The sequence below is a fragment of the Homo sapiens genome, chromosome 3, assembly GCF_000001405.40.
Source record: "Homo sapiens chromosome 3, GRCh38.p14 Primary Assembly".
Classification (NCBI taxonomy): Eukaryota; Metazoa; Chordata; class Mammalia; order Primates; family Hominidae; genus Homo; species Homo sapiens.
The window spans coordinates 112,622,864-112,647,080 of NC_000003.12; the positions used below are offsets into that span (position 1 = coordinate 112,622,864).

Below are 24,217 nucleotides of genomic sequence, written 5' to 3' on the forward strand. Positions count from 1 at the left end.
CGGGGTTTCACCATGTTGGCCAGGCTGGTCTCACACTCTTGACCTCAAGTGATTCACCCACCTTAGCCTTCCAAAGTGCTGGGATTATAGGCATGAGCTACCACGCCCAGCCAGAAGAAAAAAATCTTTAGGAAACATTCTCTAAACTGTCTACATACTCCTGATCCAGCTGAAATGCTTCATAGATTCAAGCCCATTTGCTGGGATTTGGACCTAAGATTATTGAGGTGAGGGATTCCCAGGGAAGGTGAACTCTGTTATGTGCTGATAAGGTCTGGCCCTAGTAGTAAGACATTTGCCTAGAGTGCTATTCTTTAAAAATTCCAACCCCAAACATCAGCAGTCAAATTCAGGTGGTACTAAATTTTTTCATGTATTTGTCCTTTCGTGACTCACTATAGACAGCAATGACACTGCAGAAAATTCAGCTTCAGTTATAACATATTAAACACCAAATGTGTGCTAGGCATTACGCTTAAAGCTTCCATCTGTAACTGCTTTCCTTGTGACATCCGTGGATTCTCCTCCTCCAACCCTCTCTTGCCTAAGTTCAGGCAATTCCACTAATGCCTGGACTACTTTAGCCTCTCGCATTCCTTTGAAAGTTCCCAATCTCTTCTAGCAGTTTGTAAAAGTACGATCCACTATCCACCTTCATCACAGTCACCAGGAGTGCTTGTTAAAATTACAATTCTTGGATCCAGATCAATTGACTCAGAATTACTGGTGGTGAAGCCCAGGAATCTGCATTTAAAAAATTTCCTGGGTAGTTGTTATACACTCTAAAAACAAAGAGCTACTGTCCCAGAGGAGAAAATCTAAATCCTTGTCATAGCATACAAGATCATTTATGGCAGTATAAACTTATCTATTAACTCTTCCTCCACATGTTATGCTCCAGCCCCCTATTTTCGGTCTCTAGAAATGTGCCCTCTCTTCCTGGAATGCTGTCCACATGAGTACTTCTTATTGTCTCTGAAACCTGTCTTCACCTCACTTGTGCACTCAACATTTTGGCATTCTTCTGTAATAATGCTAATCACCTTGCATTGCAACCAGTTGTTTACATATCTGTCTTCCCCCTAGATATGAGTAATTCAACAATAGAGACTGAGTTTTGGTCACCTTTTACATCCTTTCAGGCTGGCACAGTTCCTAGCATACAACCCCAGCATTCAGTAAAGATTTGGTAATCACTAGAACTCTCCCATAAGAAAGATATATGAAAAAGACAGTAATAAGGTATAGATAAGGTGAGTGATTCTGGGACTGTGTAGAAAACCCACCATAAAACCTTCACACTTTCCTTTGATCTTGTGAACCCGCAACACAGTCTAATGTAATTTGAGAAAACACATTCATATATATTTTTTTCTAAAATTGGTTTTGCATGCATTAGGTCTTTTAAATAAAACATATTTGTAAGGCATTTAAAATATAACGATTCTTTTCAAGAAGTCAGTAGGGGCCAAAACTCTCTTGGTTGTGCTTTGCATAAGCCAGGAGGTAGATGCCAGCAGAAGCTAAATTGCTTTTATTCTCAAGAACATTGCCAGGAGTGCTGAGCAGTCCATGGCAGGTTATTTCAGTTAGGATAACCTTGGCCTCCAGCTTGGAACTTATTTCCTTTTGATTGGAAATGGATAAGTTTAAATTACTTTGCAATTGATCTGCTTACTCCCCTTTTACTCTATGAGTGGGTCATTTTCCTATCTACTACCCCACTGTGAGATGAGTGACCTGATTAAATTGATAGGTGGGACTACCCTGGCCATTCCTGATCACTTTTTCTCTAGAAAGAGCAACTTGTCTTATTAATAAAGAGTGTGTCCTGTCCAAGTGAATTGCTGTCCTACAGATTGACTCCATCAAATCTTAAAGTTATAAATATATTTGAAAAATATATTCAGAAATATTTAGTGACTTCACATGGTTTACATATAAAGTTTGAATACTTTATCTTGGTATTAGAAATCTAATTTCAGGTGCCAAACTACATTTCTAGCCCTCTCTTCACCTCTTATCCTCTACCTAGCCTTCTGCTCTAGATCAAACCTAATAGCAAATCAGAATCACCTGAGCAACATTTTAAAATATAGATTCCTGGACCTCATTCCTAAACAAATGAGTCATTATCTTGGAGTAGAAAGGGGAGGTGGGAGTCTGAATTTTTTTCCAATTTATATAGAGTACCTATGCATTGGGATGAAAAAGATGACAACGCAATAGAAAAATGGGCAAAGAACACTAAAAAGGAAATATAAATGCTCCCTAAGCATGAAAATGTGTTCAATCATACTCACAACATGAGAAATGCAAATCAATACTACCCTATACTGATACCATTTTTCACATATTACACTGGTCAAAAGCATCCAAAAGTTTGATTACACACATTAATTGGAGAGGTCTGGGGAAATAGACATATTTAAACATTGTTGTTGGAACTGCAACATGATTCAACTTGTGTGGAGAGAAATCAGGAAGTATCCACTCAGACTACATTTTCTATTTAGTCTAACAATCCTGTTTCTTAGACTGTATTGGAAAGATGCACACACAATTTCACAATTTAATCGTAACCTTGTTCATATATAGCTCTATGTATGTGTGATATATGTGTAAGAACAAAATATTGAAAATAGTCCAAGTGTCCATGGACAAAATGTTTAAACTATGAGAGAATCTCACAATTTTTTGATAAGAAATGGGGAAGATTGCTATATACTCATAAAGAAAGATCTCCTAGAAATATTTTAAGTGAAAAAAGCAAGGTGTGGAACAATATATATAATATGCTATATTTTGTATAAAAAGAAAAATATATAGGTATTTATTTGTATTTGTCTAAAAAAGTACTAAATGAATAAATAAGGAATTAACAAAAATGATTACCTGTGGGTGCAGGGAGTAGCAGGGTAAAGGGGTCAGGAAGGATACAAGACTTGTCTGTGTACACCTTTTTATATAGCTTTGACTTTGAAAATTTAAAAAAAGTATTTCTTTGAAAAATTAAACAAAAACAAAAATACCTTGATCTAGTCATTATTCTATCAAAAGAAAAAAAACCTACTCATTTTTCAAGGTCCCTCCATTAAATCAACCTACTTTTCAAAATTCTCTGATATTTTCAATACCTTATCTGATGACTACAATTGGAAGAGCCAATCCCTCCACTACATTCTTCAAACACTTGTTTTGTACATTTGACATATCAGGCACTTTTCCCCCTTGGAATGTCAGGGATTGGTCTTGACACTGATATGCTTGATGTTGGAGGCAGCAAGGGCAGTGGACTAAGAAGACTGAGTAGGTTAGGAGACAGGCTCTCTAGTCTCTAGGGCACAGAATGATTGATAAGTAAAGACTTATCAAAGCAGAGGGGGACACACAGCCACTGTGTGGAAGTCTGAGCACTCATCCTGCCTCTCCTCCCAGCTCAGTGTTGCAGGGTCTAGAGAAGGCAGCTGCCAGGCACTGTCACCACTGATGAAAGGAGAAGTTGGGGGAAAAGGGTCTATTTTTCAGGACTGCCCCAGAGGCAAAGCAGCATTTTTGAATTGTTGTGGATCCTGATGACTGAGGTTTCTCTAGAAAGAACAATTCTCTTCAACAGGATCAGACAGAAAGGGTATTTTAGACTGATTTGTATACTATCATTCTCATTTTGTTTATTTATTGATTTATTTATCTATTTATTTTGAGACAGAGTGTCACTTTGTCACCCAGGTTAGAGTGTACTGGCATAATCTTGGCTCACTGCAACCTCTGCCTCCCAGGTTCAAGAAATTCTCCTGCCTCAACCCCCCAAATAGCTGGAATTACAGGCATCTGCCACCATGCCCAGCTAATTTTTGTATTTTTAGTAGAGATGGGATTTCACCATATTGGCCAGGCTGTTCCCAAACTCCTGGCCTCAAGTGATCAGCCTACGTCGGCCTCCCAAAGTATTGGGATTACAAGCATGAGCCACTGCACCTGGCGTACCATTCTCATTTTAAAAATTGACTTATGAAGTCATTAGATAGTAAGAAATCAACATTTTCTCTCTCCTTGTTGCCATATTCCACCTCCATGAACTTTGCTACCTCTCTTGATTACCCTCAAACTCTCCTTTCTTTGAAAGAAGTTATCAAAAAACTTCCCTTGCCCTATTAAATGTCCTGTGTATTCTAGCTCTTAAAATTTGGTGATAAAATGCCAATGTTAAAATATTTTTCATCTCTAAATATTGCTAAGAAAGAAACATGCTTGCTGTGCATTTCCCCCCACTTCTTTTTTCATTCTGCAATGAAGTGCCTTTAGCCAGCAACTTTTTCCTATCTGACAAAATTTGTCTGTAATCCATTCACTAAACATACACACCCAACATTCCTATCCTAGACTGACATTTTAGATATCACTAACAAGAAAGAATGCCTTTATGTGTTAGGCCATTTTAAACCCCACATGCAATATACTCTGTGCTGACAAAACCAGATAGGCATTGGAATTTGCTCAAGCATAAATAACTTTATTTACATGAAAGCCTAAAATCTTAAGGTAAGTTTCTTGGCGTTTGTAGGTTCATCAGTGATGTCCAAATACTTTTAGCAAGATGGACCAGCTGGTGAGTACGGCCCACACTGTAGTTGGATGTGTGCCCCTGCTTTCAAGGCCCAGTAAAAGTCTGGAATAGTAGGCAGAGCTTGATTTATTTTTAAGGAAAAGTAAGGCCATCTGATAGATTTCCAGCTGAAAGTCAGTCAAGGCTGGAGTTTTTTGGTTCACTGAGCCCATGGCTCATGCCAATTCTTTTTATCCCATGGCCGACTCCCAGTCTTGGCTCACAGTGCTACAGCCTTTCCCATAAGGGTAAACTGGGACATGACACAAGGAAAGAGAGGCCTTCCAGGAATTAGATGAGAAACAAAATAAAAGATCTCCCACCCCAAAATCAGGTCCCGGCTACCATTCAGTGAGGAAAATGCCCAAATCATAATACCTGATTTCCAATAAGGCAGAAAAAAAAAAAAAAAAGACCCACAGCCCCTCTACAGTTCATATTCAATCCAGATGTCTAGAAAACAGTAGGATTATGCTAAAAATTTGCCAAGGCAGTACCAGATGCTTATAATGGGACCATATAGAAGTTGAGGTGGAAGATGTAATGATTTTTCCAAGCTTCTCTGAAATAAGGAATGAGAACACTTTGTGAAAGTGTTGGTAGGTAACACATTTGACACTGGGAACACCTGGTTTGTGAGGGCTTTCATCACTAGCCAGCACCAGTCTTTGTGCTGGATTGAATACTTACTTCCTTTCTGGACATCTGGAGTGTAATTAAGCTCACTGCCCTCATGCTATTATTTGAAAAATCCAGGAAACAAATGGTTGAATCCTAGTTAGCCAATAAATACGTGGCTTTGTAGTATTAGTCTCTTGGGCTTCAGTTTTATCACCAAGAATAATAATGCAGCCTGATCTGGATGAGCTGTTGTGAGGGTTCTTGTGTCAACATTCTGTAATCAGCACAAAGCAATAACAAGTATTTTGCCATTATAGGTGCTCTAGTGACAAGTGTGACAGCTCATTGATTTCCAGATGACTACCAGATCAAATGGTGATGCAGAGGATGACCACATAATAGTGCCTATTACCTGACTGGCATTTCTGTATACTATCTTATTTAATCCTGTGAAATAGATATGATTATCTTCTAAACTAAGACTTAGGAGTAGCTTGCCCAAGGTCACACAACAAGTAAATTGTGACCCTGGATTTAAATCTGTCTGTCTCCAGAATTCATTTTGTGTCTTTTGTTTGTATGATCATTATTGTTGTTTTGGTTAAGAAAATTCCTTTTTTGCTTGTTCTCCCCCTAAATTATACACACAGTGCAGGATAAATGTCTAAAAATAAATCATCAATCCACAATAATTTATGATGGGACATTGGAAAAGATGCTATTTATTTTTCTTTTGTAGCCACCTCAGAGGAAGGTGGGCTATTTAAAGTAGAGAATGCATAACTGATACTTTACCCTGAATCAGCTCTAGAGATCTGCCGTACAATATTGTACCTATAGTTATCAATACTGTATTGTGCACTTAAAAATGTATTAAGAGGGAAGATTTCACGTTAAGTGTACTTACCACAATAAAAAAAATATGATTTAGAAGGCTAGACCATATTCAAATCAAGTTGACATTATCGTGACATAATATAACTAGTATGTCTTCAATTACACCAAGATCGTATGTCAGAAAAATCTGTGTGATAATGTTATGTGTATTGAAGTTAAATGTTGACTAACAAATAATTAGTTATATATTACTAAATATATTTTATATTCTTTCAAGTGCTTTTAGATGAAATATATTTTACGGAAACTATGCAGAATATGCAAACGATGGAATATAAAGGATTACTCTAAGGTTTTTTTTTTTTGTAGTTAAACCATGAACAACAACAAAACAGTAGAAAGTGCATATAAGAAAAAAAGCTTTTTAAAAAATAAAGCCCTAGAGATGCAATAATTATGAAATAAACTGGGTGGGTCATATTTTGGGCTTCTGACTATGAGGCTTAACTAATCACAGTAAATCTTGCAACGTTCCCAGGAGAACTGCAATGAGTTAGATCTCAGCTGTCCAACACTGGGCTGTACGCCTCATGAGTCTCACATGCACCATTCATATGTAAAATTGCGAAAACTCTAAATTCAGCCAAATTCTTCTACTCTCCAAAAGGACTTGGGTGCAGTTCAGTCCATATTTTCAGTGACTTTTCATTTATCTTAACAGCTTCTCTCAGTTCTGGTTAATTCCTTCCTCAGGCTTGCCAGAGTCAAGTACTTCCGAGAGTCTGGCAAGTCCCATCTGTGATGAGTCACCTGCAGCGGAGAGTCTGCAGGAAGATCAGACGGGGCTGCTCACAGGCGAGAAGACTCAGTACCCAGAAAAAGTGTCTGAATGCCTCTCTGATTCTCTCCCACACTGTGTTACTTTTCCCATTTTCTTCCACCTTACTGACTTTCAGACAATAGAGTGTTTGCGTATTTTTCTTTTTTACAGTGCTTAAAACTTAAACGAGAACCATCCTGGAATGGCTATTTAAATAAGCAGGCAAACTGACCTGTGTTATCACAACCAAAGAGCCCTCTGAACATCTTCATTTTCTTTTGGATCCCCCATGTACCTCTACCATAAAGTTTGTCCCACCTTAGATATGAGAAAAACAATAATATAATTAAAATGTTTAAGAGAACCTAGCTGAAAGTGGTCGATTTTCATGGTGCTGTTGTTGACAGGGCCGAAGATGGTGATCACAGAGATTTTCCTGGTAGCCATCTTGCAGAAACTTTCCAGATATTCATCACGTTGTTGCACATACATATTGTTCTCAGCCTTGGGAGCAGTGATCAGCTGGAGGTGGGTGAAGACAAACAAATACTCATTTATAGTGATAGTTTCACACTGAAGCAAAACCCAAAGAGATGATTTGGAAGAGAGGGCTGGTAGTGACTGCATCTAAGCTACAAATGTTCTGCTGAACAGTTAGCATAATTAGGACCAAAAAGGGCCATTTGAAAAGGCCTCTTTTTGTCTCCAAGACAGCTTGGAGTTTTCTACTCACTTCCATTATTTACCTCCATTACTAGCCTCCACATGTCTCACTTTTCTTATTTGTGAACTCTGCAAAGGAATATTTATTTTGCAAGGCTGCTGTGAACATTACATGAATACTTGGCATGCAATAATTGTTCAATAAATGTTATTTTCCTTCCCTAATTTTGATCTTCATTATTCTCACTGGCTGATTAGATATTGGTTAATACAGTGGTTACTACTATTATTCACATTTCACAGGGTTAAGAGAGTTTCATAGCCAGGCCCTGGGCACTACGAAACATTCTGTGATTTAGAACTCTTATTAGAAAACCTTGCAGAAAGGTTTTATGATGACTTTTAGGCCTACGTTTTGTCACATAGAATATATTCACTGTCACATTCAGCCTGCACAGAGTTGGTGGTGTTTGTCTTTTGATATTGCAGTTTTCCAACAGGATGTTTTTTACTCTAAGTTTAGCCCTCTCTTTGGTTCAGACCTGGTATTTTTCACCTAGCCCTCTGTCTTTCATCCTCATCCTATGACCCCTGTCTTCTGGGGGAAAAAAAAAAGAGGAAAGACAAAGCAATCAAAAGAAATACTTTAGTCACCAGAAATCTGAGAAAATGTAATTTATTTTGGATACAGTAAGGATAACCCTACTTTTAAGAGGTCCTCTTGAATCTTTTCTCTGAGAACGTCTCACTATTTTTATCTAACCTAATACAAAAGCTTCTCTACTCTCTTGATTAATTTAGCTGCCCTTCCCTGAGCCTTCTCCAATTTTACCAATTTTACTCAATCCTTGAGCTGAAGCTAGAACTCTGTTCCACATCCCACAAGCTAGTGGGCATAATGCTGCTTACCTTGGAGGTGGGAGGATGTGAAATTTTATTGTGATGATGACCAGGTCTTTGTTGAGATCCTTGATCCCAAATAGATCACCAGGCTGATGTCTGCAATGAACGCTGTCTATTTGCCCTTTGTTGCATCATCACTAAGCTCAGAAGCAAACCTCTATAAATCATTTTTCTGTAAACAACTTTTTGCATTTGACTAAATACAAATTTATCAGCCAATTTTCTTGCATTTGACTACATTCAAATGTATCAACCAACTTTCTATTTATCCGCCTAAACTTATAAACTATTTCCGATATTTATGACTATTACCTTGGCATTTTTCAGAGGGCAAATCACCAGGCTGTGTACCTCTTCCAAATATTTTATCAAAAATGGTTAATAAATCTGGTCTCAGCTTGATCCTGCTGTTTATTTTTCTCTGTCAGAGATGTCTGTATTGCTACCTGCAGGCTTTCCCTTCTAAGAATTCTCCCCGCATGACAAAATACTCTCCCTCAAGGAAATTAAACGTGTTCAATAGCCTTTGAATGGAACGTTAACAAAGGTTTTCTGGGATGAAGTTTTTGTTTTGTTTTGTTTTGTTTTTCAGATCATAATTAATTTTAAATAGACATGCTTTAGTTTATTTTTCATGTGTTTCTATGCCTGCTCATACGGACATTCTGGGTAGGAAATGCTTGTTTTAGGAACATAATTTTTTAAGGGGAAAAACAAAATTTCTCCAAATTTATTCATTGATTCACATTAGCCTTAAAACAAGATTAAAGGCAGCTATAAAAAGATGTGGTGATGGTATTTTTAGTTGCTTGGTTTGTTTTTAATTAGCTTTATGGCATCTGAAAATATTTCTTCAGATCTTGATGGGAGCGCAGATACCAAAGTTTTATTTTAAGTTGGTATATTTTAGGTCTTTTTTTCTGACTGTTTTGTGCTCAAAACCACACTATTCTGAAATAAATAAAATGAATGTTTAAGTAAAAACACAAAACAGTAAAAACAAAGGTAAGAGAAAGGGACTTACTGTTCATGGTTTTGGACTCCCTATTCTAAATTAAGGATAAGCCATATTTAGAATATATTTAGAGGAGTTTCTAGGGCAAAGCTGCTTAGATGTTAGATGACAGAAAATTATCTGTTTCTGTAACTTCAAATTCATACATAGATTCCATTTCATTCATACCATACTTTGCCATAGACCCTTACAATCTGTGGACAGATCACGGTATGACAGGATTTTAAGAGTCCTCAACCCTCCTCTAGTCTTCTCCCCCTTGTGTATATTAAGGATATCAGACAGTATGTAATCACACAGAACCTTATCCTCCCCTGTGTGGTAGGTTCTCCCACATAGCTCTATACACAGTGGCATGAGGCCATGGATACCCAGTGGGAATCTCATTTAAATAAATAAGTGCCTCTGATGTTTATTTTCACTGCAGACCCTTTGCCCAAGAATGCCTTTAACCACCAGTGGGGTGACATTCGTTTTGCAGGACTCATTCTCTAACTTCCGGCCCTCCACGTTCTGGCCCCGGGCTCTCTTTTGCTAATGTCCTCCTATACCTCCCTTACCTGACCTCTTTACCCCCTAGAGCCAGACCCAGTCTAAATTAGGAAATGAAAGGAATCTTGGGCAGAGAGGCATAGAGAAAGAATAATTGCAGTCAAAGTCAGGGGGCTGTCATTTCGGTCCTAGTTCAGCTCCTGGCTAGCTTGTAGCCTAAATAAATCCACTTAATCTTCTGAAGCTCAGCATTGTCATTGTTATAATGAATCAACTTTCCTGCCAACCTCATCACGTTGTGAGATCTGAGCAAAAGTAAATATATCTGTATATCTTTATAAGATCATAACATGAACTTATTACAGATTGATTTATTCTTAATAAATAAATATGTGTCCCCCAAGCACATACAGGTATGTCACCTCTGAATAATTCACCCACAATCCTTCCTCTGTCTTTGCCCAAGTCACTCCTTCTACCTCAGAAACCTGCCCCCGCCCTTCTCTAAATCTCATTCTTTCTTTCAATGCATTATCCTCCTTAAAGTCTTTTCTAGCATGCAGGGATCACTTCCTCCTTTTAATTACTGTTCTTTTTGTCTGCCTCGCCCACTTGGAATTTAAGCATTTCCTTCATTTACTATATAACTGTCACATCTCCCCAGGCAGAATGTAAGTTCCTCAGACTCTATTACTGTCCTGCAGATGGTGGGGGCATAAATGCTGGCCAACACTCCTCCGGTTATATAGATCACCCTAGTCAGAGGAGAGGAGAGGGACTCAGGAATAAAGGGGTCCCCTGGTTGTTGTGAATGTCTAGATGCAGGCTACGACTTTACCAGTTGGTGAAAACACTCTCCCTTACATTTAATCTGCTCCTCAAGTTTGCAACAGAGAAAATAGAGAAGACTGACCATCTGAACCCATTTCAGGGACTCTTTCCCTATGTTTTGACATCTCCATCCCATTCACTTTCTAGTTGGGCTGTATTTCAGACAGTGTTTAAAATGAGAACCATTTCCAGTCCCCTCTTCCTAAAAAGAGCAGCTTAAAGCTCCTCAGTAAACACTATTTTCTGTCACTTGGCCTCTTTCCAGTTTGATGGCAATAAATCAGGGCATGTATCATGAATTTAGACCTGTGTTGTATTTCTTTTTCATGGCTTCTGTTCCAACTGGTGTGTTGGCTCAATGAGCCTCAGAGGATAAGGAAGCCTGTTTGCATAAGTAAAGAGAGCAAAGAGCAATGGAAAAAAGCTAGAGGGAAGACACTTTAAGTCTCAGATTATTCAAAATACTGCGTTAGGCTCAAAATGCTAGATTTTTTTTTACAGGATTCTGAAAAATAACTTTCAAGCTAATAGTCTGCCTTAGTACAGCAGGAAACCTTAAATTCTTTCCTAAAATTAAACCAAATAAGTAGATGGTTGTCCTAATACACAGATGTCTGAAGTAAAGTTGGAAATATGAACCCACTTGAATTACAGGAGATTCAGTCACCAAAGAATTCTTAAATTTGCACTTGAATTCATTGAATTCAGCATTTGAGGTCCCTTGTTAATTGACAAGTGACTAGATCTCAGAGCGCAGAATGATGGCTTCTCAGCTATACTCCCCATAGTACAATGTTTTGGTGATAAGCTTACCTATAGTCTCACTATCGTCAACCTCAAACTGACACCAAGCAGACTGAAGAATTAGGTTAACTGGAATCCAATCTATTGTTTTTGACTGACTGTTTGGAAAGCCAGAGAATTGAGTGCAGAGGACTAGCTGCGTATTAAAGGCAGAAACTCCACATTTGTGCTTAGCAATCATTTACCACTTATCTGGGTGACTCAAGGTTGACAATGAATTTTTAAATGTATTTGTATTCATATGTATTAATTTTTTAAATTCATGTTTATTAACTGGCAAGATCATTCCTCAGTTTCCCCTTCACTTTATGGCATATCCCACAGGAAGTTCATACCCAAAAGAATTCAGAAAGGGAGATTGGCCTGAATTTGAGTTTTCAACTCAAACAGATCTGAATTCTAATTCCGACTTCACCACATATTAGCTATATATCTTGGGTAACTTCAGGTTCTGTTTTCTCATGTGTAGAAAGGGGTAAATAAATCATTCCTTGAGGGATTGTTTTGAGAATTAAACCACACAGTCTTGGCAAAGTACCTTGCAGGATGTGCCCTTCTTCGTCAACAGGTTTAGAGGCAGGAGGTTTGAAAGAGTGAACACTAATCTAAAAATAGGACACCTGGCTCCACCTGCAGCTCCTGTGAAGGCCTATAGGAAGCCATCAGCCTGTAACCCACATCATTGCTGTTAGTGTTTCTGTAATTGTTAAGTAGCAGTTATGTGATACGTCCACATCTAAAGAATGCTATAAATAAAGACAAAGCACTAAGGGTTTACAATAAATGGCAGTTAAGTACCAGGTTACTGAAAAGCTGAGAAGATGAGCTGAAAGTCCTGCACAATTTCTTGGAATGTAAACCTGCTTTCAGTCTGAGTATACTGGGTTAAGTTAAGGCCAGTTGGAGGTAGTTGTTCTCAGCCATACTTAAACAGCTTGAGAGCACTAAGCCTTAATGAATAGTAATTGAATCACTGAGCTTCCTGAGTAACATTAGCCAAGTTTGATGGGAAAAGTGAGTGGAAAAGGCTAAACAGCACCAACAATGTTTTTCACCCATTGGTCTCCTCTCTGGCGAAAAATTCTTTTCTCTCCATCTTTTGCTTTGGTATCATGTCTATTTCATTTGGTCTTTTCTAATACATTCTTACTTTAGATATCATTAGCTCTGCAGAAGACACATTTCTGATATGATCATCAGTTGGGCGCACATAGGATCAAAAGTCTGAAAAGCCTTCTGTTAGTATTTTGTTTCTAATAACAAACCTGGTTCTCTCACTAGGCCAAAGAACCAACACTGCCAGGAGCAATTCCAGCTGGTTTCTGTTTTGCCTCACATGACATCAGCAGAAGCTGTCATTTGAGTTTCATTTGCTAGAAATTTATAAGCAGGGATACTGTTAAAAGCAGGATTGGCCCAGCTGGGCTTTCACATCTCCCACTAAGGGAGTGGGGAGAAGGAGGGAGAAATGAAAAGTATGACTAATATCAGGGATACACTGTGAAAACCCCCTTTTTTGACTCACAAACTAGCGGCAATGGGAAATATTTGCCAGAAGGGTGCACAATTACAATCCTGACATTTTACCCATGATTTTGTTTTTAAAACCTGACCATGAGGAACATTTTGCCTGCCCTGTTGGCTAAATGAACAGAGTTGGGTGATGTACTTTAGTGGGCTGGACAAAGTTGTAGGTACTCAGGAGGAGAGCACTGGAGCAAACCACTAATTCTTTCCCATGCCCCAGAGAGAGCAGTTTGCCCCCACAGGCTCCCTAACAGACATTCAAGTATCAGGTAGAGTTTTACTCTGAAATCTGATTTCTTTTTTGTTCTAATGGGAACATTCCCATTTAAATATATGTACTCTGAGAATATCCAAGCGACCTGATAACCCAAGTTTATATAGACACATTAAGGCTCTGGTTAGATATTCCACCAATATACAGAAAATATATAACAAAACACACACAGACATACACACAAATCCTTAGAATCAACCAGAGCTAGGTTTTACTCTAATACACAGACCTACTATCAATGTAAACAGCTAAGAAAATTTGGGATATGTCCCACTCATGATAAACATCACAAAGAACTTTGCTCTGAGTAATATTTCAAATGCACATTTAAACTTTCTGAAACAACACACGATAAATGGGCACCAGAGTTCCTCTGCCCAGATTATTAACCGAAATTTAGGCTAGCTTGGAAAACCTAAAAGATCCTCTAAAAAATGCCTTGAGAAAAGAGTGTCTGTCTCTTTTGGTGGGGGAAATGCAGGGTGTGCAGTTACCTTGTGCCTTCAAGAGGATGGGTGCTGCCCTCAATGGCATGAGTTGATTCTCTCACCCAGGCATCTGAGAAAATCATTCCTGACTCACATTACCCAACATCAATTTATTGATCTTTTACTCAGAATTAATGGTAACAATATCCTTTTCCTCCTTGACAGCCTGGAGTAAAAAGCTAGTCTTAAGATCCAGGGGTGGAAATTTTGGAGGGGCAGTAAAAGAGGGAAAGAGAAGACAAGAAGAGGAGAAGGAGCCATTTGCACATCACTGATAAAAACTGCCCTTATATTTGGCTCACTCCTGCCCGAAGCCCTCATTTGGTGGTGGCAAGTGATGGCCAAAACAGAGAGTTGCTGAGATGAATCTGTGCCTTACTCAACACGAGTGGCACAAAGAACTGCAGACCAAGGGCAAGTAGGGACAGCTTGTCTCCTTTTTCACACACTGATGCACAGGCACATGCACATACACATTTTACAGAGCCCCCGGAGAAACTGACATCTAGATTTTAAATTCAGGTGTATCTCTAGAGTACCGGAAATTGAAGCAATTAACCCAGTTCCCCACATTCCACTCTTTGGCTCTTCCTAGTAGCTGGATAGAAATGGGAGAGGTAGGCTTTAAGGGGAGAAGATTTCTGCTAGCTCATTTTAAAAGGATCCGTGAGGGTCATACCAACAAGGACTCTTCTCTACTCTCAGTCATACCCACTCCCCACCCAGGCTGTCTTACTTTCCTCTTGGAGCACTCCAATGTTGATATAGAGCTAATTAGTGAAAGAGGGGACCTCTGCTATTGTCCCATAGACATGATTCTAGTTCCTAAGTCAGACAGAGAGAAACCCTTTTACTAAGATGTAACTGAAGTCAATGCACTCCCTTTTAGGAATTTCATCTTTCTTTTCATCCTTTGGACTTGGTAAAAGAGAGCTTTGTCCAGAAATATCCCTTGGAAGAGAGTGGTAGAAATGGGGGAAGGGTCCCTACAGGTCTAGAGGAAGCTGACTACAGGTGCTCTCCTGGGCTCATGTGTAGGGTCCCCAGCCACTGACTTTGTACCACAGGGCCATGAGTTGTGTGAGCAGAACTTCATAGGTCACTAAACCAGAAGGAGCTACTGGCCTGCTGCCCTCTTTTGCCAGACTTCTGAGCTTCTTGACACAGTACAGGTTCAGTCACAGTCTGGCATCTAGCAATATGATTTTTACAAAACTAACAAGACAGACGTTAACATGCCCTGCCTCAGCCCATAGAAGAATGCCAAGGAGAAGGCTACTTACAAGGAGTCTTCGTTTGCCTTCAAAGGACCCCAGCAGGTCGGCCACTGACTTCTTGGGACTCTGCGTGAAGTGTTTGTTGGTGGGTTTCTGATAGCCATCCTGTTCTGTTTTACCTCCTTTTTTCTTCTTGCTCTTCTCTTTCTCTTGCTTGCTCTTTTTCTCAGACTTCTTCATTTGCTTTTCACTCTTAAGTAACTTGTCTGCGTTCTCATTCTTCATCTTTTTTTTCTTCTCCTTCTCTGGTTTCTCAAGCTTTTCATGCTTTTTAGACTCCTTTGCTTTTTTAAGGGGAACATTCCCCACCTGCAGCTCGTCCTCCAGCTGAGAGGCAGTAGGCCGGCTGAGGTCATACTTCTCCTCATACTCATTACTAAGAATTTTGTCCTGGGCCTTCTTTTTGGGAGGTTTCTCCTTTGCTGGCTTGGGAGGACCTGGCACCACATTTGGGTCTCGGTGGCCATGTTCCCGCCTGTCCATGCGGTTGTCCCGGAAACGGCCTGGGCCAGCAGCCCTTGTGCTGGGTTCTGAGATGGTGGTGGGAGGGGCATTTGTGAAGCTCTCCAAGCTGGTGGCCTTGCTGGGCCTCCTGGTTGTCTGTGGCCTCTCCCTGTGCTGATCCTTCCGGGATGGAGGGTAAAGATTCTCTGAAACTGAGGGTCTCCTGGCAGTGATCACCTCAGTGGTTGTAGGGGGCCTGTGGGAGGGTGAGGGGGTCCAGGGCCTCTGCGTGGTGGGAAAGGCAGTGGTGGTCATAGGTCTTGCAGCAACTGTTACCGCCCGGGACGTGGACCGAGTCACTGTTGTGGCTGGGGCAGGAGGAAGGGTGGTGGCTCTGGGGGTTGAGGGAGGTTGGGGCAAAGCTGGTGCAGTGGCGGCCAGTTTTCTCAGGACCTTCACCCGACTCTCTCTGGTTGGTGGGACTTGTGCTCTCCTTGGGTCCTCTTTCTTCTTCTCGCTGCCCAGGCTTGGCCTTCCTGCTCCCCCTCCACCGTCATTCCCCTCCGCCACCACCTGGCCCTCTACACCAGAGGCCTTACATTTCTGGACAAAGCCCTTCTGCCTGATCTTCTCGATCCTACGGATGGGGCCTTGGTCGATGACCTCGTACATGGCTTCCAGCCTAACGGGATATGGATAGCGCTCCTCCACCTGCAGCGTCTTCTTCAGCAGCACCATGCCAAACTTGCCCTTCTCCAGCTTCAGGAAGCTCATCAGCTTAGGGATGAGGCTAGGGTCCAGGGGCTGCTCCAGGATCTGGCCCTCGCTGGTGATCCTTCTCACCTTGCCTCCTTCCTCACCTGCCTGGTGGAAGAGCACAATCTGTTGGATGTGCCTCTCCGCCAGCTCACAGTACACATCGTCCTTCAGCAGGCTCATCATGAGGCGGTAGTAGCCTTCCGAGGCATGAGGGGCTGAGATGACCCATACTCTGTTCTTCCCTGCAAAGCTGGCAAGGATGTTGGGAGAGCTGGACCCCGAAGGGAAACGCAACATTCTTGACCGAGCTGAGGACCCCTCATCTCTGATCATCTCACGCGGAGAGCCCCTGGCTGCTGGTCTTTGCTCAGGTCTCACGGCGGCCCCATTGATGTCCGAGCGGGCTGGCGGCTCTGTTGGGCGAGCTAGTCTCAACACGGGCACACTCCTCCTTCTCTGGAGAGGCTGAAGGTTTGGTTCCTCCAGAGTGGATCTCTCAATTCCGCGAGACCTCCCAGTGTGCCTCAGAAACCGAGCTGGCCTACTGCTGTCCGGAGAAACCAAAGGCACTTTCCGTCCTCCGTGGCTGCCTCTAATAGTGGCATGGGGGTGGGGTTCTGATCCACACACTAGCCACATGGCCAACAGCATAGTGAAACGGGGTCCCATTCTCCATGTCATTGTGTAATCCACTTTGCGATGCACGGAGGTCATAAAACAAAGGGGAGGGGGAAAAAAGAAAGAAAATTATTTATCTGGAAACAGAGCTGGTCATTTTCTTTTTCTGTATCTCAGCCAAGGGGAGGGGAAAAGGTTGGTTAGAGAGAAGGAGGGAGGTCAGGAGATGGAAAATGGGATGAGATCCTGTTACTTTCAATCCCCTATAATTTGTTAGTGTTTAACAGAGACAGTTACATTAAGCAGGAAATCCAATTCAGTTTCCCAGTCAGCATGCTTGTACTGTTTCAACTAATGCTCTGGATGCTCCAAAGAAAATGCAAACTAGCATATTAATTATGACAACATTCACATTTCATTCCTTCAAAATAAGCAATAAAGAAACAAATAAACAGATCAAAGACAGAAAAGATTACACACTTACATGGTGGCTCATAGAGATGGAATGCAGAGGGTTGCAAAAGAAATCAGAAGTTTGGTTCCCAGGACAGTTTCCTAGATGAACTACTTTTCCTCCCAGCCCTCTCTCTCTTTACCGAGGGTGAGCAATACAAAAGGGGTGTGCTGCAGCTCCAGCTTTCAGAGTACCGCCACAGATCCACAGCCTGTCCTGATCTGAGAGCTGAGCCGATGCCTTTTCTTTCTGGCTGTGTCTTTTTACCTTCTGGACAAGTAGGATGAGGTGAAAGGAGCTGTCCTTCTAAGTCTTTGTATCTCCATTTGTCTGCAGTTTCTCCTCGGTCTCGTGTGTCTGTGTGTGCCAGTCCCTTGTGCTGACACAGGACGTCCCTTAAAGTCCAGTCCTGGCGATTTCTGAATCTCACTCTTTCCCTCTTTAAAGTTCCAGGATCCTTCTTATCTCCCTTTCCCCCATAGTCTGGCTTAGTCTCTTTGTTTCCGGGCGTAAAAGCACTGGGATTAATATGTTTTCCAGGCTGAGGGAAAACACAGGAATGTGATGTCGAAAAGGGACTTTTTTTTTCTTTCACTGTGCTTCTCTCCTCCCTTTATTTCTCCCTACCTTTTTCCTCCTCTTTTTCTTCTTCTTTTTCTTCTTTCTCTTGCCTGGATTCAGTCCCAGAAATGTTAGGACTACCTCAGTTTTGCTCCAAACCAAACTCAAACAACAGCAGCCACTGGAAATCAAGGAAACTTCACTAAGAATTTAACAGATCAGCAAAACACCGCCTCCTTCCCATTTTAGCACGTTCAGAGTGGACTCAGTGAGGAGTGAGAAGGCTGTTCTTTGGGGTGGGGTAAAGTTTTTAAACTCCACACATCATCATAAATCACTTTAGAAGAGGATGACTGGTGCCTTAACCCCTTCCAAACCAAGTCATCGGGGTAACTTCTCTTCCAGTCTGTTCTTACACTGTACTTTGGAAGGAGAAAATTCTCAGATTTCTGCATCAGGCTACATTCTTTTCTTAGAGACAGATACTCATTTGGGTCAGGGTGCTTGGCTGTGCTGACACAGACAGTATATATGTATTTATAGTCCCATGTGTATATTCTTATATCTTTCTCCCTGCTTTGTGCTTTTAGTTTGAGGTTGGAAAAGCCCATGGAAAACATGACTAGGTTGTTTTTATTTTATGCTAATTGGGGATCATATTACTGTGTTCTTGGTCCTAGTTTCTCCTCGGCATGGAAGGAAGCTGGTAAAAGGTTAGAAATGCAGGCAATGGCTGCAAGTCGAGATTGCAGTTGACTGTTACATCAGGGAACAGGCATTATGATCTCTAGCTTCAAAGCTCTGGCTGCAGATGGTAGACTAAGGGCTCCCTTGGAGGTCCCGAGTGTGTGTGTTTGTGTGTGTGTGTGTAGTGCAATATTTTCCTCTGCAGAGACTTTAGATGTCTGAAGGGCTTTAGGCAATCCATAGAAGTAGACTTATCAGGTTCTGAAAGAGAGAGTGAGGCAGCTTTGGGATTCCACCTCCTGAGTCTGCCATAAGGATTCAATGGAGAAGGAAGGGGTCTCAGGTTACGTGGATATTTCTTCCGGCCATGCTGGGCGAGCTGACTCTCCATGTCACTATTAACTGCCACCAACAGTGACAAGCCAGGGTTCTCAGAAACCTCCTTGCCAGCTCAGTCATGCTAATAGCGTCCCTCACTGGATCAAACTTCATCCCTAGTTGTTATGCCTTGATCAGCCCCATCTTGCCCTGGTCACATTTGACTTTTTTCACATAAGCTACGAGCATGGAACTGAGAAAGTCCTGTATAGAGGTTAACTATAGAGTTGCCCGGCCACACCTTGAAGTCCCAGGGGTACCAAGAAGGATGGCCAGCCCTGCTGTGGCATTCTCTCAGACACTTGTAAGGATAATAACAAAAGTGGGCTTCAGGCAGAGACCCTCTGTCCACTGGAGTCATAGATTGCAGCCTTCGTGGTATTCACCTGTTGGGTTGATCAACCTAGCCTTGTGCTAAGTTGGAGGGTCCTAGATGTTACTTCCTTTCTCATAATTTTCTAAGGCGTCCTACACTATCCTTACTGAGCTTTCTCCCTTCTGGCTTTTCATTTCCTCTTCTCTTCTCTCTGCTTATAACAACTACCATTTATTGAGCATTTACATGTGAAGCTTTGGGCTTAGTATTTTTGTGAATTCTTTTATTTAACCCTCACAGTATCCTTAGAAAGTAAACAGAATGATCCTCATTTTATAGATGAGCAAACTGAGGCTTGGTGAGTTTAAATAAATTGCCTATTGTCCCACAAAAGGTAAGCAGTAGCTCTGAAATTTGAACCCAGGTTTAGAACAGCCTACAAAGCGTGATGCTATCCTGCCTCTCTCTTTAATTTTCTACTCATACCTTCAGTTTTTTCCCTTCCTTCAATTCCTTTTTGCATTTCCCACATTCGTAGAAGAGTTTCATTTATTTGTTCAACCAGAGTACTTACACTTTTAGAGTCCTACTGTCTGGGATAATTGTGTAACTGTACTTTTTGCTTTTCTCAATAGGTCCTTAAAGCCCTTTATTATTTTTCTTGAATAAGTCATGACTTACACAAACCTCTCCATGATGTGCACAACATTTGTCACCTGTGCGCTGGTAAAGCTGAAATACAGCCACTTTAGCAACCCCGAATTGACCATGAGGAGCCACCCCAACCCTGGGTTGTGCCTGTCTTCCTAGGACCTCAGGCTTTCTTCCCTCTGTGAGCTTCAGTCACCAGATGGCGCACTAAACACACACACCAGAGAGGACCTAACACTCCACCGCCGCCGTTAGTCCCCACCCCACACCCAACTCCTTCCCCCAGTCTCTTCTCACACACAGATACATACACACACACTGGCAAAGTGGGGCTTCTCATGCTTGTTTTCATCTCAATGCCTAAACGCTTACCTGGGGCTTCAGAAAATCCTCCTGAAGAAGTATTGGAGGCACGTACCTAATAAGAGCAATGATAAATTCTCATTCATTCATTTCCGGGGAGATCTATAATGATTAATGGCTTGTAATAATTCTCAATTTCAAGTCCGTTATTTAAGAGCTCCATATTTTGTAAGTCCTCCATTTAGATCTTTCTATTTTTCTGCAACTGAAGAAACAATTAACCAATTAGTGCTAGGGGTTGGGGGAGGGTGGTGGGGGTTGGTGATATCTGAAAGGAAGACATTGATGTTGAGTCAGAAAAAGGTGAAAGGAAGAAAATGTTAAAGTAGACTTTAGAAATGCTAATTTGGGAATTAATTGATAGGAAACTACCTGACATTTGTTTTGTAGTAATTTGTGGGGAGGAAAGGAAAGAATGTACAAACTAGAACTGCTTTAGAGAAACTAGGGTGGGGATAGTTATTTGATGAAAGCTGGAGTGAATGTAAGAAGGCATCCAAAAAGGAGTGTGCTAACTGGTCAGACCCACACTAATCCAAGACTTCAGCAACCTGGGACCAAGGCTCAGGGTAACACGCTGTGACAGGCACGCTAGAGAAACCAGGGTTTCTGTCACATGCCGTTGGTTCTCTTGCACAAAGTAACACTCAGAGATGTTACTGAACTGAATTCTATTGCTAAAATAAAAAAGCATTTGCTTAAGAAGAAACAAGAATAAAAAGAAAAGGAGGGGATAACAGCATGCTGTTCAGTGTGGTTTTGGAGGGAAACCACCTCTCCTGCTCTGTGATCATCAGTATCCCCAGCAAGAAAATTAGCTGAGCCATTTTATCACACCTTTGTGGCAGAAGCACAGACAATACTCACACTGAGGAGGCTATGTGTTTTTCCTTCCCATTTGCAGAACTCAATCAAATGTTCAGTCTTAGGCTGCATTTGTGTCCTTCAGAATGAAAAAAGAATTCTTCTCTTTCTCAGTATTTTCAGTGTAGGACAGACTAAATAAATAAGTTGCCAGGTCAGAGAGAAAGCCAAAGATGACTATTAATGCAGGGTGCTGCTGCAGCCCAGGTGATACCAGTGAGCTGGGGGTTTCCCAGGTGCCAGTGGGACCTTGACCCCAGCCAGTGTCCAGGCTCTTGACACTGTCAAAAGAATGAATTCAAGGATATTCTAATCTGCCACGTCAAGAGTCTCCTCAATTGTGTTGACCATGCCTTTTATGGGAGCTGCCAGGGACCTCAAGCCCCTTCAGTCTCAGTTATGGCCATTACGGCACTGGGTGGCCTCCTCTCCCTTCAGAGCTGAGAGCAATTCCTTTTCCAATGGCCCTCCTGCTTGCAGTGAGGACAGGGTCTGGGTGGGCTCCCTTGGCTGGGACAGTCCTTTCTCCAGTGTCCTGACTTCTCACACTTGGAGCAGCAACCGTTGCCTGCAGGTTTGCTGTTGAGCCTGTTTGGTCTGCGGTGAAGCGTCTTCCTGGGTGACCCTGAGGTTGCAGGGCACTGTTTACAGTGACTGCTAATCATTTGGGCTGGCTGTCTATCCCATTTTTTGCCATTCTGGGTCATTTCAGCCATTTTAGCTCTGTCCCTATTATTGAATACCCCAAAAGCCACACCAAACATTTCATTAATAGGTGTGTAGAGTTCCAAAGCCAATTTCTGTAATGTTCTTCTTATGTCAGGTGCTGACTGGCTAATAAAGTGTGTCTGTAGAAAAATTTGGCCAGCGTCAGTACTGAGATCAATGTTAGTATATGTTCTTAGGTCCTCCACAAAGGTGCCCCTGAAACAAAGCTGAGTTTTCATCCTTTTCTTATTTATCTTATTTTATTACAGTTCGCGGGCTTAGTGGTATATTGTTTCATTCCCTCCACCAAACAAGTCACCATATGATTTTTCTTAGATCAACCTGGTCCTGTTGATAGTTCCAGTAAGGGTCATTGCTAGTCACGGATGTGGCCCCCACAGTGTATCGTTCAGGATCCCCAGCAGACAAGCTGTAAGCATAAGCCTGGGTGCTTTTTCTTTACTCTTTTTTTTTGAGACAGAGCCTCGCTCTGTCCCCCAGGCTGGAGTGCAGTGGTATGATCTCGGCTCACTGCAACCTCTGCTCCCGGGTTCACACCATTCTCCTGCCTCAGCCTCCCGAGTAGCTGGGACTACAGGCGCCCGCCACCACACCCAGCTAATTTTTTTTTGTATTTTTAGTAGAGACGGGGTTTCACCATGTTAGCCAGGATGGTCTCGATCTACTGACCTCGTGATCTGCCCACCTCCACCTCCCAAAGTGCTGGGATTACAGGCATGAGCCACCACGCCTGGCCCTCTTGATCCCTGTTTTTTCAGGATCTTATTAGGCCATAGCTTCCGAAGCTATTTCAAGCTTCATTTTGCTAGTCATGTGAAACTGCTGCTTGGAATTTTCTAATCTCCTCCAACCACCCTGTATTATTCCTTTCTCACAGGGATGTTCTGAGAAAGCGTAACCCCCAAAAGAAACACTTAGTATTGTCCATGAAATGTCAACAAAGTCACATGTTTAATCCAAAATTGAAGGAAACTGTGTACTTTAAAAATAAAAGTTACCTAATGGGATAATGGTCAAAGCTCTTGAGAACAGTTGTTAATATTCTTTCTTTATGCATTTATTTTTAATTACTTAGAGTTTGCTGGGGAAACCTTGTAGGCACCTTTTTGTCCCTGTAGCAGGTTGCTTAATTAAGAAAATGTCCATCTCCTAGCTAGTACAAATTAAAGATCTTGCCCTAGCAGAAATTAAGGAGCTGTGTGAATGGCCCAAAGATTCATTTTAAATCTCCAGAGTGAATGATTTAAAGTTCAATTATTTATTGGTTGTTATTTTATGTAAAAGATGTGAACTTGTGGGCATATGAATTTGCTGCTTGGGGGACTAGTGCTTGGGTCTGGAAGGGGTGGATTTAAAGTCTTTATCATTGGTTATTTAATGCATACAAAAGATTTACATCGATTGGATCTGAAGGAGAACATTCCAATTGTACCTTTCTCCGTGCCCTTAGGTATGGCCAAGAAGATAAAGATGATATAATTTTTTTCTCCTTTTTTTCAATCCTTCTCTCAAATGTTTGGCAAAAATGCAGACTGAGCACCGGGAATGACACAGAACCAAGCAGACTCTCCCCTCTAGAAGTTCACAGCCCATTGGAGAAGATAAATATTATACTCTCCACAGCAGTGCTGCCAACTTTCTCTGCATGTAAAAGTTCAGTGCTGACTATGGCTGCAGCCAGTATGCACAGAGTTCATTTCTGTTGGAGAATTTGCCTCTTCAATTCCTTGAGCAGGCTTTCCACAGAAGGAGGCTTGCCATGGCAGCAACTGTGTGTCACCTATAAGATCTTGCTTGGTATGTCCTTTTGGCTGTGGAGTCCCCTAGAGTCCCAGATACTCTTGTCTGGCAGACAAGTGTTGTATCTCATTTTCCCAGTCCCAATTTCGGCCCGGCACCTGTCCTGCTAGGATTGCCCTATCCTTTAGTGGTCGGTTCACTGTACTGACCTTGCATGGCAGGTCTTGACCACATCACTCAGAATATCACCTTACATCAGAAAGTGTGAACCAACAGGATGGCAGCTCATTCATTCGACAAATATTTACTCAATGCAAGGCACTATTCTACTCACTAGGGATACATAAATGAACATTCCCTGACTCCCGGGAGCTTACATTACAACGGTGGGAAACAGACAATAAAAATAAAAACAAAATACCTAAGCCTACATACGTACTTGAAAGAGTTTTTTTTGTTGTTTTTTTGTTTTTTGTTTTTTAAAGGGAGGGAGTA

The 24,217-nt window shown here is 41.5% G+C and overlaps 1 protein-coding gene across 3 annotated transcripts in view; it reads right to left on the bottom strand.

Moving 5' to 3' along the window:
- The window catches only part of CCDC80 (coiled-coil domain containing 80), a 44,347-nt gene extending 26,067 nt beyond the window's left edge, over positions 1-18,280 (bottom strand). Inside the window, exons 1-3 of one of the 3 annotated variants that reach the window (NM_199512.3) lie at positions 18,061-18,280; positions 15,165-17,053; positions 7,250-7,406 (exon numbers count right to left, since the gene is read on the bottom strand). In NM_199512.3, the coding sequence (NP_955806.1) occupies positions 7,250-7,406; positions 15,165-17,042 (2,035 nt within the window). In that variant the 5' untranslated portion in view covers positions 17,043-17,053; positions 18,061-18,280. Of the gene's footprint in view, positions 1-7,249; positions 7,407-15,164 lie in introns of all 3 variants that reach the window. The other 2 variants (NM_199511.3, XM_047447495.1) reach the window with 2 other exon arrangements.
- Positions 18,281-24,217: the final 5,937 nt, after the last annotated feature.